The sequence below is a fragment of the Homo sapiens genome, chromosome 1, assembly GCF_000001405.40.
Source record: "Homo sapiens chromosome 1, GRCh38.p14 Primary Assembly".
NCBI classification, from domain to species: Eukaryota; Metazoa; Chordata; class Mammalia; order Primates; family Hominidae; genus Homo; species Homo sapiens.
The window spans coordinates 216,559,574-216,572,262 of record NC_000001.11 but is presented as its reverse complement, the minus strand read 5'-3'; the positions used below and the strand labels follow the sequence as shown (position 1 = coordinate 216,572,262).

General features: G+C 35.7%; 1 protein-coding gene across 56 annotated transcripts in view; it reads left to right on the top strand.

Moving 5' to 3' along the window:
- The window catches only part of ESRRG (estrogen related receptor gamma), a 634,457-nt gene that overhangs the window by 565,440 nt on the left and 56,328 nt on the right, over positions 1 to 12,689 (top strand). For 35 of the 56 annotated variants that reach the window (XM_017000625.2, XM_047449371.1, XM_017000622.2 and 32 more), the window contains 2 exons: positions 4,165 to 4,275; positions 7,862 to 8,044. In XM_017000625.2, the coding sequence (XP_016856114.1) occupies positions 4,165 to 4,275; positions 7,862 to 8,044 (294 nt within the window). The remainder of the gene's footprint in view (positions 1 to 4,164; positions 4,276 to 7,861; positions 8,045 to 12,689) is intronic. The other 21 variants (XM_047449389.1, XM_011509266.4, NM_001243513.1 and 18 more) reach the window with 1 other exon arrangement.

Here is a 12,689-nt window from a genome sequence, read left to right as displayed (position 1 = left end):
AACTAAATAAATTGATGATTACTTTCAGTATGATGTGGAAGTAGTTGCGTCTGTCTTTTACTAGGATTTTGGTTCAAACATTTCACCAAGCATGAAATCAGGTAAACCAAATAATACCAATAATAAGATCATCATCCTACTAGACAATGCATAGAAGACAGATTTTTCCAGATTTTGAAAACGAGTTAAAAGCAGTATAAATATTTTCTACTTGAATTGAAAAAGTTGGAGTTGGAAATATTAGCCTGCTTTTGACAGGGGATGAAAAATCACGAGTATCAGTTCTTATGATCCTTTAAAATATATTGGCTCTAGAAATTTTTACCATTAATCGCTATCTAAACTTGATGAGTATAATATTGCATGTGGAGTCCCTGTCAATTTTTACTAATAATTATGTAATCTGTTTTTATGAGTATCAATAACTAATCATTTTTCTACTATCATATAAATAAAATTACAAATAAAAGAATGCATTATCTAATTAGTCTTTATTTTAGGAAATAAAGTGTAAAATCAGGACTTATGTGAAAGGTTTTTCACTGGATAGGTGTATAGCTAGGATAAATGAATGGATAGATGGGAAGGATGAGGTAAATGTACGAGTGAATGCATAGATAGTTATTGATCTACACACACACAGGAAGGGATGTGGGGGACATAAGACAGCACCCCCTTAGATTTGTGACGCATGGAATAGGTAATATGAATTTTTCTATAGTCACCTTTTGAAGGTGAAAGAGAAATGCATAGTAATGGAATGTATTTGATAATACTTTTTGTTTGTTTGTTTTATGTTTGTTTGTTTGTTTGTTTTTTGAGATGGCGTTTCACTCTTGTTGCCCAGGCTAGAGTGCAATGGTGCGATCTTGGTTCACTGCAACCTCTGCCTCTCAGGTTTAAGCGATTCTCCTACCTCAGCCTCCTGAGTACCTGGGATTACAGGTGCCCACAACTACACCCAACTAAATTTTATATTTTTAGTAGAGATGGGTTCTCGCCATGTTGGCCAGGCTGGTCTCGAACTCCTGACCTCGGGTGATCCACCCACCTCAGCCTAATAATCCATAATACATAATAAAAACCCTGTCAATTGATCATGCATATTTTTTCTTCATGATGTGTAATAGCTAGCTTTCATTGTTGCACTTCCTCTGTAGACTTAGCCCAGTTGGCTAAACTACTTGATGGCTTTAAAGTGATGTAACTGTATGTCTGAATTGTTTTCCACCAAGATCTTAAATCAAGTCACTCAGCTATGGTCTTTTTCCGCAGATCTTCATGATGGACAAAACTCCATTGTCACAAACTCACTAGCTCTGACTTCTGGGTTGGAGAATATGTAGTGTTTTGTTCAATATATGAGGACATATTGCTAACAGTGAATACATTCCTTGACAAGCATGAAAAGCAAGTTTAGGGAGTCTACAAACTCAGTCAAGATTTATTCTGTCAGCTTTCTTGGCTCTAACAATTTTAGTGATGTCCAAAAAATGTTCCCTCTCTCTTTAGCTTTTGCCTGTCATTGTTTCTCTCTCTCTGCCTGCCTTCTCTTCACACTTCTAATAATATCAGATTAAATGTTCTCATTGGGTTGGAATTGGATGACAAACGTGAGGATATAATTAGTGTCATATGCTTTTGATTTTCTACTAAGATTTTTAATTTTCAAAATTCTTATAATGAAAGAGGTTTGAATGTATCTTAGATGACCAGAAAAAATGTGGTCACCTTCAACTGGAAAACTATTCTGAAGAAAATTTTGAAGAGAAAGAGATGAAAAAAAATAAATCATGATGAAAGTGGAGAGAAGTAGAAGGCATTAAACTTTATTAAATATAGATGCAATAAAAACAGAACATTAGAAATTAGATAAACAAAGGAATACATCTGCTGTAGGCATGGAGTGCTTTAAAAGCAGCAATAAAGAAATATAACTTCTTTGTGAACAACATGCATGGCAATTTTCAGTGAATGCTTAATAACCTTACCTAACTTTTTTGGGTTTTGATATTTGTTTGTTTAACCTATTTAACTTTTCTCAAAGTTGTCTCCTGATGTTATTTACACTATATTCTGATACTTCAATATGACAATTCAGGCTTTATCTAGAACCAAGTATTTGTGTGTTCTCCTAAAAGATAATCAACGCTTAAAGTAGTATTGTTAAGATAATATGAAAAATTGTTTTCCTAATAATCTTTAACATTTGAGTAATATATTCACTGTAAATATTCACATAGAAATAGATCTGCTTTTCCCAAATCGTTTCATGTAACTCAGATAACCCACAGCTCACATATTCTGCGTGACATTAATCGGTATTCCAAAAAAACTGGAGCTCTGGTTCAATTGGTTTGCAAAACACTGCATGTGCTATGTAGCTTCCTCTTAGAGTTTTACAGAGCCCGTCGCATATTAATGGCTCTGAGGGGGCTTAAATGAAATAGTAATACTGATGATGCTGTTAAACCAAATCTATTTCCTAAACAGTTTGAGACATGCCAAAATATGTACAACGAATTACATGGTTGAACTTCTTAATGAATACTTTTACATTGTTATATCAATTAAAGTACAATGTAATATTGCAAAAGAGTGTCTCCTCACTTCTGCTCCCAAGCAGTCGTCCTTATATTTGGTAGGGACTTATATGGTCCTGTGCTAAACTTTACAATTATAGTCTGGAAACTAGATTGACAAGCTCTTCCCTATCACTTCCTGATATTAATGAAATTTTCCTATATTTGTAATCCCATTCATTCCCTTGGCTTTTTCCTTAATCTTTTAAATCCGCTGCCAGAAAATCCCCTTTGAATCTTGACCCAACCCATCACTATTTGGGAAAAAGTTCTATTCCTGTCAGTCTACTTTTGCCCACTTTCCAGCTTCACCCTTTAGCCCTCTTTAACATTCACTTCCTTCGACATCCAAGCATTTGGAATTCTTTGGGAAGCTCTTCTTTTCCTTCCTTCTTTCCTTCCTTCCTTCTTTCCTTCCTCCCTCCTTTCCTTTCCTTTCCTTTCCTTTCCTTTCCTTTCCTTTCCTTTCCTTTCCTTTCCTTTCCTTTCCCTTCCCTTCCCTTCCCTTCCCTTCCCTTCCCTCCTCTTCCACTCTTCTTTCCTTCTTTCCTTCCTTCCTTCCTTCCTTCTTCCTTCCTTCCTTCCTTCCTTCCTTCCTTTCTCTCTGTCTTTCTCTCTTTCTTTCTTTCACAGAGTTTCACTCTTGTTGCCCAGGCTGGAGTGCAATGGCATAGTCTCAGTTCACTGCAACCTCCGCCTCCCGGGTTCAAGCGATTCTCCTGCCTCAGACTCCCGAGTAGCTGGGATTACAGGCATGCACCACCACGCCTGGCTAATTTTGTATTTTTAGTAGAGACAGGGTTTCTTCATGTTGGTTGGTCTGGTCTCAAACTCCCAACCTCAGGTGATCTGCCCGCCTTGGCCTCCCAAAGTGCTGGTATTATACAGGCGTGAGCCACTGCGCCCGGCTAGGAAGCTCCCCTTTCTATCCTGTGTTCAGCCCAAACCTGCTCTCAGTTTTCTCACATATGAGAGGAAATACAAATTTGTGCCAAAATGTAAATAACATTCCCCTTGAGACATTGACATTTTGATAGAGAACAATTCTTGCGTCTCTCAGGACTGAATCTGTGTAGTGTAATTCTGGCCTCCCTCCTCCCCAGCACATAGGTGCTCTTTATTCAGCTCAATTCCACAGGTCCATCCTGAGGCCTCTGGCAGACTGGAGGGAAGTTGGATAGCTCTTGGTCTACTCAGTCCTACACATTGAGCTTTCAGGGCTGACTGATGAAAAGGATGCTAAATGCCAGGGTCTTTAATTTAAGAAACTATACTAGCACCAAATAGCGGCTTCTTTGTATTAATCTACATGGAAATCTGCCTTTTCTTTGATGTGCAAATAGTGACCCTGATGGCTTTGCATGAAATGTCTTTCGGATCTGTCATCTGCTGACAGATTTGGTTTTCAACCTCTGGCAAGTTTGATTTAGCCACCACTTATTTACATTATTTGAGTACCCCTGGTCCATTCTGCATTCTACTGTTTGTCACCTATGTGCTCTTGGGGGATACCATCTAGGTATTTGATTGGTCTCAAACATAGCTACCTTAATAGTAAGCCGGTGCCTGTCTTTGCTCACAGGGGTGCGTCTTGACAGAGTACGTGGAGGTCGGCAGAAGTACAAGCGCAGGATAGATGCGGAGAACAGCCCATACCTGAACCCTCAGCTGGTTCAGCCAGCCAAAAAGCCATGTAAGTACAGCAGATGTGTCTGGCTTCCCAGAACACGAAATCCTCCCAGTTGGCTCTATGTACATCAGCTTTGGCATGCCCATCCCTACTGACTCCAAGGAGACTTCTCTTTGTTGGAGAACAGTGGCTCTATTCCCAAAGATTGTCTGTGAGGAGCGACAGCAACTCAGCTTATTATCTCATTTTTTCTTTTAGAGATATCTGTGGTTTTCTCTCTCCAGCCTTTTTTTAACCTAGTCATTTTGTGGAAGCATAAGCATATTAATACATAGCTTATATAGTGTGAATTTTACATTTACTGGTTATCTTTATTTGCAGAGGTACATAAAATGGATCATACTGTGATCATTAGTTCATTGGAGCTCTTAGTTTCAGATTTCACAAGAAAGTGATTTTTGTAGTTTTCACTAACTAAATGAATTTGACTGCTCAACCTCCCAATGAAAATACATTAGGGGCCTCATTAATTTGGAGCTATAGAAGTTTAACACACTAGCTAGCAATAGATTAAAACAAGAATGGGCACTACTAATAACAAGCATAGGTGGCTGGTTCCATCTGAGATGCCCTTATGGACGGTATGAATTGTTTTTAAAGAGCTCATGGTTTTATGGAGCCAAGTTGCAATTTGAAAGGATGACTGGTACATTGCTAAAATGCAAGCCCCATTCTTTTTGTCATTAACGAAAAAGAGTTGGAATATAGATTGAGGCAATCACTGTATCCTATTTTCTGAAAATCAGTTAATAGTTGTAGTGCAACAGAACTAGCGTTTTAGGATGTTTATGAATAGGGATCCTACTGGGCATGGAGGAGCGCTTTGGTGAAAACGGTTTTCCAATTTAGCTGTCTTTTTCTAAGAAGACACAACCAGCACTCATCAGAGGAAAATGCATCTGTAGCAGTTCTAGGAAAGACATGGGTAATTTTTGATCTGCCTTCAGGGGAAGAGAAGATGTCCACTTCTAATTCAGATTCTCCAGGAGGGGTCACTGCTGTGCATCATACATATGTGAGCATATGGAAATCTGTTAAATAAATAAAACAGACCCTGAACTGTAAATGAAAGGACATTTTAGCTATGTCAAAGGAAAAACAACCAGTTTTACATAAAATTAAAGCTTAAGTGAACATATGGCATAGTTTCCTTTTGCCTTTCCAAAAAACATTATGTTGATTATACCTTCAATTGTCCAATCTGGCATCTTCTCCTCAGCCTGCATAAGCTGTTTGGCATTCTGCAAATACAATCGAGGACTGCATTAAACAGATTTTGCACATTATAATAAAAAACCTCTCTGATAATACAATAATATGCAATAAACACTAATGCTTAATTTCATTAGAGGTTTAGTTTTTCTGAATTCACTAATATACAGACTGCCCATTTCTCATTTATTTTATGCAAACATTGACTGAAACCATTGATAATTTCCTCTACTGAAAGAAAAATGAGCACCAGCCCATGTGTAAGTTGAAATGATAGAGGAGCATCTATGGTTTTCTTCGTAAACCTGAGAAATTGGGAAGTGGCTTGTCAAGTACCTTTAAGAAGATTACAGCAATTTCAGTGAGCTCCATTTGTCTCAGATAAAGAGGACTCCTAATAAATCATTACTCATTATCTAAAGGCCTCTGTGTTAATTTTCTTTAGTCCATCCAATTAGTGTGTTTTTGTAACAAACATTTATAAAACTTAATTTTCAGATCCTGTCAGATAAGTGTCAAGAGACTGTGCCTGAGCTTTGCTGAGAAAGTGGCTGGGGAGGTTTCTGGACCCTGACTGATTGTGTACTACAAAGAACCAAGAATGAAAATTGGGTTCTATTGATTCTAATTAGGGAAACATTAAATAAGATTTACCTAGAAACAGTGCTGCCGGCTATTCCATTTTCTGAATGATGGGAATTTCTAAGCTTCAACCAAATTTCTCTGACCTCTCGTGTCAAGTATCCATTGACTTGGATAAAGCCAGTGCTATGTTCCCTGTACTAAAAAAAAAACAACTAGAATCATGATTACTTTCGGATATATTTTTATGCTCTTTACTATTGGATTTTCTTCTAATCCTGAGAATCTAATGGTTGCTGACAGGTTTTGTTGCATTGTCAGAGCAATGAAAGTTGAAACTTTTCCAAGCATAACTAAAAGTATGGGGTGTTGTTTCTGTAGCATACAAGAAAAATCCAAATTAAATATTAAAAAATTAATCTCTATTTAATTTTTAATTCTTTTCTAGTCAACGTAGTATTTGGGAATATTTCCTCCCAAATCTGCCTACTCAATTTGATGATGATAGAATATTATCTGTTGTGTATTTGAAATAATTATAATTAATATGGGAGCCATATTCATAAATGTTTAAATGTTATGTTAGAAAAAGTGCTAATTATAGCTTGGACAAGCCACATTCTTTCATAAAAGGAGATAAAATGAATGCTATATTTAACTCTAAGTTATGTGAAGTGTTTTTATATTGGGTTAAAAAAGTTAAAAACTTAGAGCGAGAGGCAAAGAGTCTGATAAACACATTGGGAACTTTGGCTGTGTTCACAAGAACCTCATTTAAAGTCCTGGTTTTCTACAGTAATAGTACATAGAACATTTAAATATGTGGGTTTATTCTCACCCGTTTGTATCTCCTCACTTAGAAGAAAGCATAAAATCTTAAGCTACATATAGAAATTGAAAATAGGGCCAACAAGAAAAATCATTCTGTTACCAAGACTTTACAGCCCCTTCCATAAACCCTCACATGCCCCTGAGCAATAAAACACATTTGATGTGATGCTTTCCATTTGTCTCTAGTGTTTATTTTTTGAAGGATTTTTAAAACATATATCACAAATTTCAGACAGATAAATCTGAACCAGAGAATGAACTAAGGACAACTGATGAAAATAGAGGATTAAAGAATTTGACACACAGAAGAGAAAATGACTGTAACATTTAAGGAGGAGTATTTTTATGGAAACATATTAGCTGTATTTGGAAGACTGGCTGGGTGTGTGGGGAGGGGGAGAAAAAAATAAATTCCTATTTAATGCATCCCACGGAGATAGAGTTATATAGTCAGTAATTCACCAAGGCAGAAGGGCTCTGACCTTTGCTCTTCTTTAAAGGAATTAAGACAATTAATGACTTTCATGCCCATTATGACTATAGGCATTAGTAGTTCTTTGCCTCCTGTGTTATGATCTATATTTCAATAGTTTACTGGGGGTTTTATTTTAAGCTATTTTATACCATTTAATCTACTTCACCAAATCCCACTTAAGAATCAAAGCACAAACCCAGAAAGCATCTAACTTCTCTTATCTGTTTGCTATAAAAATTTTCACTACAGGACAGACGCTTCATTCCAGCAAAAGCAGGTAGAGCAAAGAAGAAAAAAAAAGACTACATTCTATCACGACTGCAGTGGCATATGTCTTGCTATGAGTTTTCCTGCACACCGTTTAATATATACCTATTGAGCCATAATTGGAATATTTAGCGTTTATTGTAGGATATTTGGATTGTTTTTCAAAACACAAAATGCTCTAGGGTTTATAAAAGAGGGATGATACTACTAGTGATCTTGTAGTGCTCTGGTCTGATCCTGCAGATAACAAGATTGTCTCACATTTGTTGGTGGCTGAACCGGAGAAGATCTATGCCATGCCTGACCCTACTGTCCCCGACAGTGACATCAAAGCCCTCACTACACTGTGTGACTTGGCCGACCGAGAGTTGGTGGTTATCATTGGATGGGCGAAGCATATTCCAGGTACATTTTCTGAAAAGAAAAAGAAAAGAAAAGGTTGCAATTAATTCCCTAGGTTATGTATATAGATTTGGGTGAATTCAAATTTTTCTCATTTAGACTTAAAAAAACCCTTTACATTTATTTTTAATCATAATTTAGAGTTTTGCATATCCTAATAGAATCCTTAGACTTTATATTATTTATATTGGTACCACCTTGAGTTCTTGTTAGTTTTTCATATGTACAGGTACTACTGCCAGTGTAAGCTAACGAGAATATAAATTTAAAACATTTCTTTATCCTTTGTCAAAATTCTTACCTTTTTCCTAGCAAATACTTCTACTTTTTCTTTTCACTTTAAAAAATGTTTTTGTCAGCGGTAGCCTAATGTACTATTTTCCCAACTAAGAATCACTAGTTTTGTTCATAGTGGCTAGTTATATCCTATTGCTGGTCATATTCACAAGCTTTGCTTTGGCTTACAATCAGATATTTATCTTTACAGATAAATTGTGAAAATAAATATTAAATGGACATGGTAACTTTTCCTATATGGTAATTTAAAGTTAGCATTTAAAAATATTTCTCTTCTTTTTTTCTTGACCCATCCTGTAATATGAACAAATATGTACATGCTTGTAAGTTTTGAGAATTTTAGTATTCTACTTGAATTATTTTTTATTTGTTTGGAGTTGAATTTTCAGATAGTTTATAAACAAGTTTTTGAATGATGAGCAATGTTTTTCTGGTACAGTTAACTTATTTCTGTCTCCTTAAACTAGTTTGTCTTTATGCTTTGAATGCTACAGTAATTTCTTTAATCAAATTGATGGAAGTCCCTTTCCCAGCCCACACTGAAACCAATTTATTGGTCATGATACGCCAGCTATGTTGCTAACAGTCGTAACGAACTGTCAGGCGATATCGCAGTGAAGCTAATTTGAAGTCATTAGGTGTGCAGCGTTCAGGCGACAATTTGTTACAGTGGTTAGGAACACAGCTGACATTTCTGAATGGCTTTGTTCGTTGTAGTTCTAGATGAGGCCAAGCAAATTGTAAACTAATTTAAACATCACTCTGTATTATACCAGCTACTTTGTCTTACACTGTTTGCTAATAAAGCCCCCCAAATTAAGTCAAAACTAGTTAAATAGGTGAGCTTGTATATTCTTTAGAAGACACCTACACAAGGATTACTACATATAAAAGAAGAATAAGAATTTGATTGTGTGGATATTTGATATTGCAGTTGGATTGTAATCACATCTGTATGACTTTTAGAAAAATAAAAAGAAAGGATTTACTGCAAGATGTAAGACAATTGTTGATTAATGCAGTGGGAACAGCCAGAATTTACTTCAACAGTGTATGAAAACTTATTTGTAAGGAAAGCACTATTGAAGGGTTTAGAGATGAAAGAAACAAGACTCACATTTGTTGAAGTGTCCATAGACACTTTTTTAGGTGATTGATATATATCATTTATATTAATATATCATTATGATATATGTATACACACATTTTAAATATCATCATTTTCACCCAGGATTTCTCAGCCTTGGCATTATTGATATTTGGGACGAGATAATTGTCATGAGGGGCTGCCCTTGTTCATTGTAGGAGGTTTAGCGGCACCCATGGCCTCTACCCACTAGATGCCAGTAGCACCCCTGAATTGTGAGAAACAAAACTGTCTTCAAACAGCCTCAAATGTCCTCCAGGAGATAAAATCGCCCCAGCCTGACCCTCTTCCCCCAAACTGAAAACCACTGTTCTAACCCAGGAATCAGGTATTATTATTCTCAATTCAAAGATAAGGAGATTTGAGGTAGAGAGAGGTAAAAAACACTTGCACAAATTCACAGCCATATCCAGTACCTTCAGAGTGGCTTCCTGGAGTAGAATCAAGATATTTTAGTCTCCAGTTTATTGCATTTAAAAAACCTATTTCAAAATGATAATGATGATAATATTGTTATTAACAACAGCGTGAAAAGCTGTGTCACTATGGTTCCAAACCACCCATTATTTCGGAGAGTTCTGCTCAAGTTGTCCCTGAAATAAAAGATTTGTAAGGCCAATATTTTGATATCATACAGATAAAGCATAATAAAAACCAATAAAAGTCAACAATTTCTTTTGAACTTTCTAGTAAGGAAAGTGAGTGATAAATATGTAGGTCCGACTGTGCATCCAAGTAGAAATGTCAGCTTACAAAGGGACTTGTCACAGTAAAGGGGCTCTAGTGACTTTTGTAAAGATAGCAACTTTAAATAACTATGAGTAACACCATTTCCAGTGGTGGAAACAATTACTATACGATTATGGGTTCAGTCTTAAGCTGAGGCTTAGAATTGGTGGGGACTGACGTTATTCTCTCTCTATAGCAAATGTCAGAAGAGTTCACTGTGGAGTAGTGATTCACAGCTCTGATTTTCGTGATACCTGAGGGTGTTGTAAATGATTGCAAGGAATATCTTGGCTTTTCAGAAAGGGATTAGCAAAACAAGAGTTAACAGAAATTTAAAAAAAAAATTTAATAATACCTATGCCATACAGCGCTTGAGGTAGAAGGAGAGGGTGTTCTGATATCAAAGTGTGCTGCCTTACCCTGGGTTCAGGAGGTTGGTCAGTAGAGGACCACACTACAGCTATATGGACTGAGAGACAGGGAAGTAAAGGCTGGAGAAAGTAAAGATAAAAGTCACATTTCTGCCTCGATAAAAGTGAAATTGTGTTCTTGATAACATGAACCAATCCTGATAACTGGGGTCATAGCCGGAATTAAAGCCAAATCAGAACTGAAATTTCACCTGTCTTGGTCTTAACTTTAAAACTCTTTGTTTTTGTAAAGCTTATGTTAAAGTGAAGTCATTTTTTAATACACTAAAATTCAAGCCCCTGTTATCTTTATGCTGTTCTCGGTTTGTATAATTACACCCATACACGTACATATATGTTTTTAAAATTAAGTTTAGCATCGAAAATGAGTAGTTTTTCTGTGCTGCTTCGAATGTACTTTTGCACACTTTCTTTATAAGAAAGTGAAGGATACAACAAAAGAAGCTATTGAAGAAAATACATATGGAATAGGTTTTTTTTATCAGTAAATAGAATTAGTTGACTTACATTAATAAATCATATAAATGGGAAAGTGTGTTGTTATGAAACATGACCATACTTTATCTCTAGAAGAAAAAAAGATCACAAGGGCTTTAGAAAATGCTTGACTTTAGTTGGAGGAGCATAAGGGCACAAGAACAGATGATGGTGCCCTAATAGCCCTTTTTAAGAATGACAGGGCCCAGCCATTAGCATCCTTTTATATCCTTGGAAATTGCTCATGCCTCGCTTTTCTGGTTCCTATCTGCCTGACTCTTTTTTATTTCTCTTTCAATTTCGTCCGCGCTCGGATAAGCGCATGCTAACACAATATGATTGAGCTGTAAAATGGAACGCTGTCGCCTCTAATCTCTTTTATGTAGATACGGAGGTACTGCACACTCCACTTCACTCCCTCTCCATTGTTGGCCTTTTTTCGAATGGGTTGCCAAGTAATGGAGGCTCTGTCAAATATTAGAGCTAGGTTTCACAGGGTGTGATAAGACGATTATCAGCCCAACAGTCAGATCTATTATTGTTCTTTTTGGTTGATTAAAATATTATTATGTACTGTAACTTTGTTAGCAAAATGCAGAATGTGCTTAGTCAGATGGTGCTTTAAAAAGCATAACCCATGTTAGCTGACCTATATAAATGGCTTAAACATATTTATGGATCTTGCCAGACAACTTGGTTTAAAATAACAGAATGGTATTTTAACAATTAAATGAATGAATGCATTTTAGAAAAAATTGTCTTTGTTTATTAATATGGCAAATCTTCAGGTCTGCTTGTTTATTTTTAACGTGACAAATTAAATAATTACCCATTGAAGAAGGAGGACTTTGCTCAAGTTTGGGGGGCCTCAGTTACATTTTTCAATTGATCTCTATTGTAATGATATCAAATAGAAAAAAATTCCTATAATTTTTCTTCCTATCAACTGGAGGCAGGAGTTATTAAACTCTAAAAGAAAACTACATAAGGAAGATGATGTAATAAATAGTCTTTAAGTATATGTATTCACATAAGAAACAGAAATCTAAGCCACATAAACCAATATTTACTATTTGCCCTGAAACATTTTTTAAATAAAAACATTCAGTTAGGAGAACATATCAAAAATTGCTCATTGACTTAGCTTTTTATAGTTTTCTCAGAAGTATTTAGACTTTTCTAGCAATGAAAGGAATCTATAAAGAACATGGATAAACTGTTTCTACATTTAGGGTATAAACTTTGGAAAAGAATAGCCAAGCATGTGTAAATATTTATTGCTAAAGATACTGCTTGAAGATATATTTATTGTTCTAATAAATTTTACAGAGTCAAATTTTTAAGATTATATCATCCACCAAGCAAAATTATGGAGGTTTCATTTTTAAAATACTCATTACTGGGTACTGGTGGATAAAATACCCATCTTAAAATAGTAGCACCATTAAGTGATTAGGATACGTGCAAAAGCACAATAAAATGTGGCAAAAATAATTTAATGTTATGTTTCCGTTTATAATGTAAACTATGTTTCTATGTATATATGTGTGTGATTAAGGTTTGATGT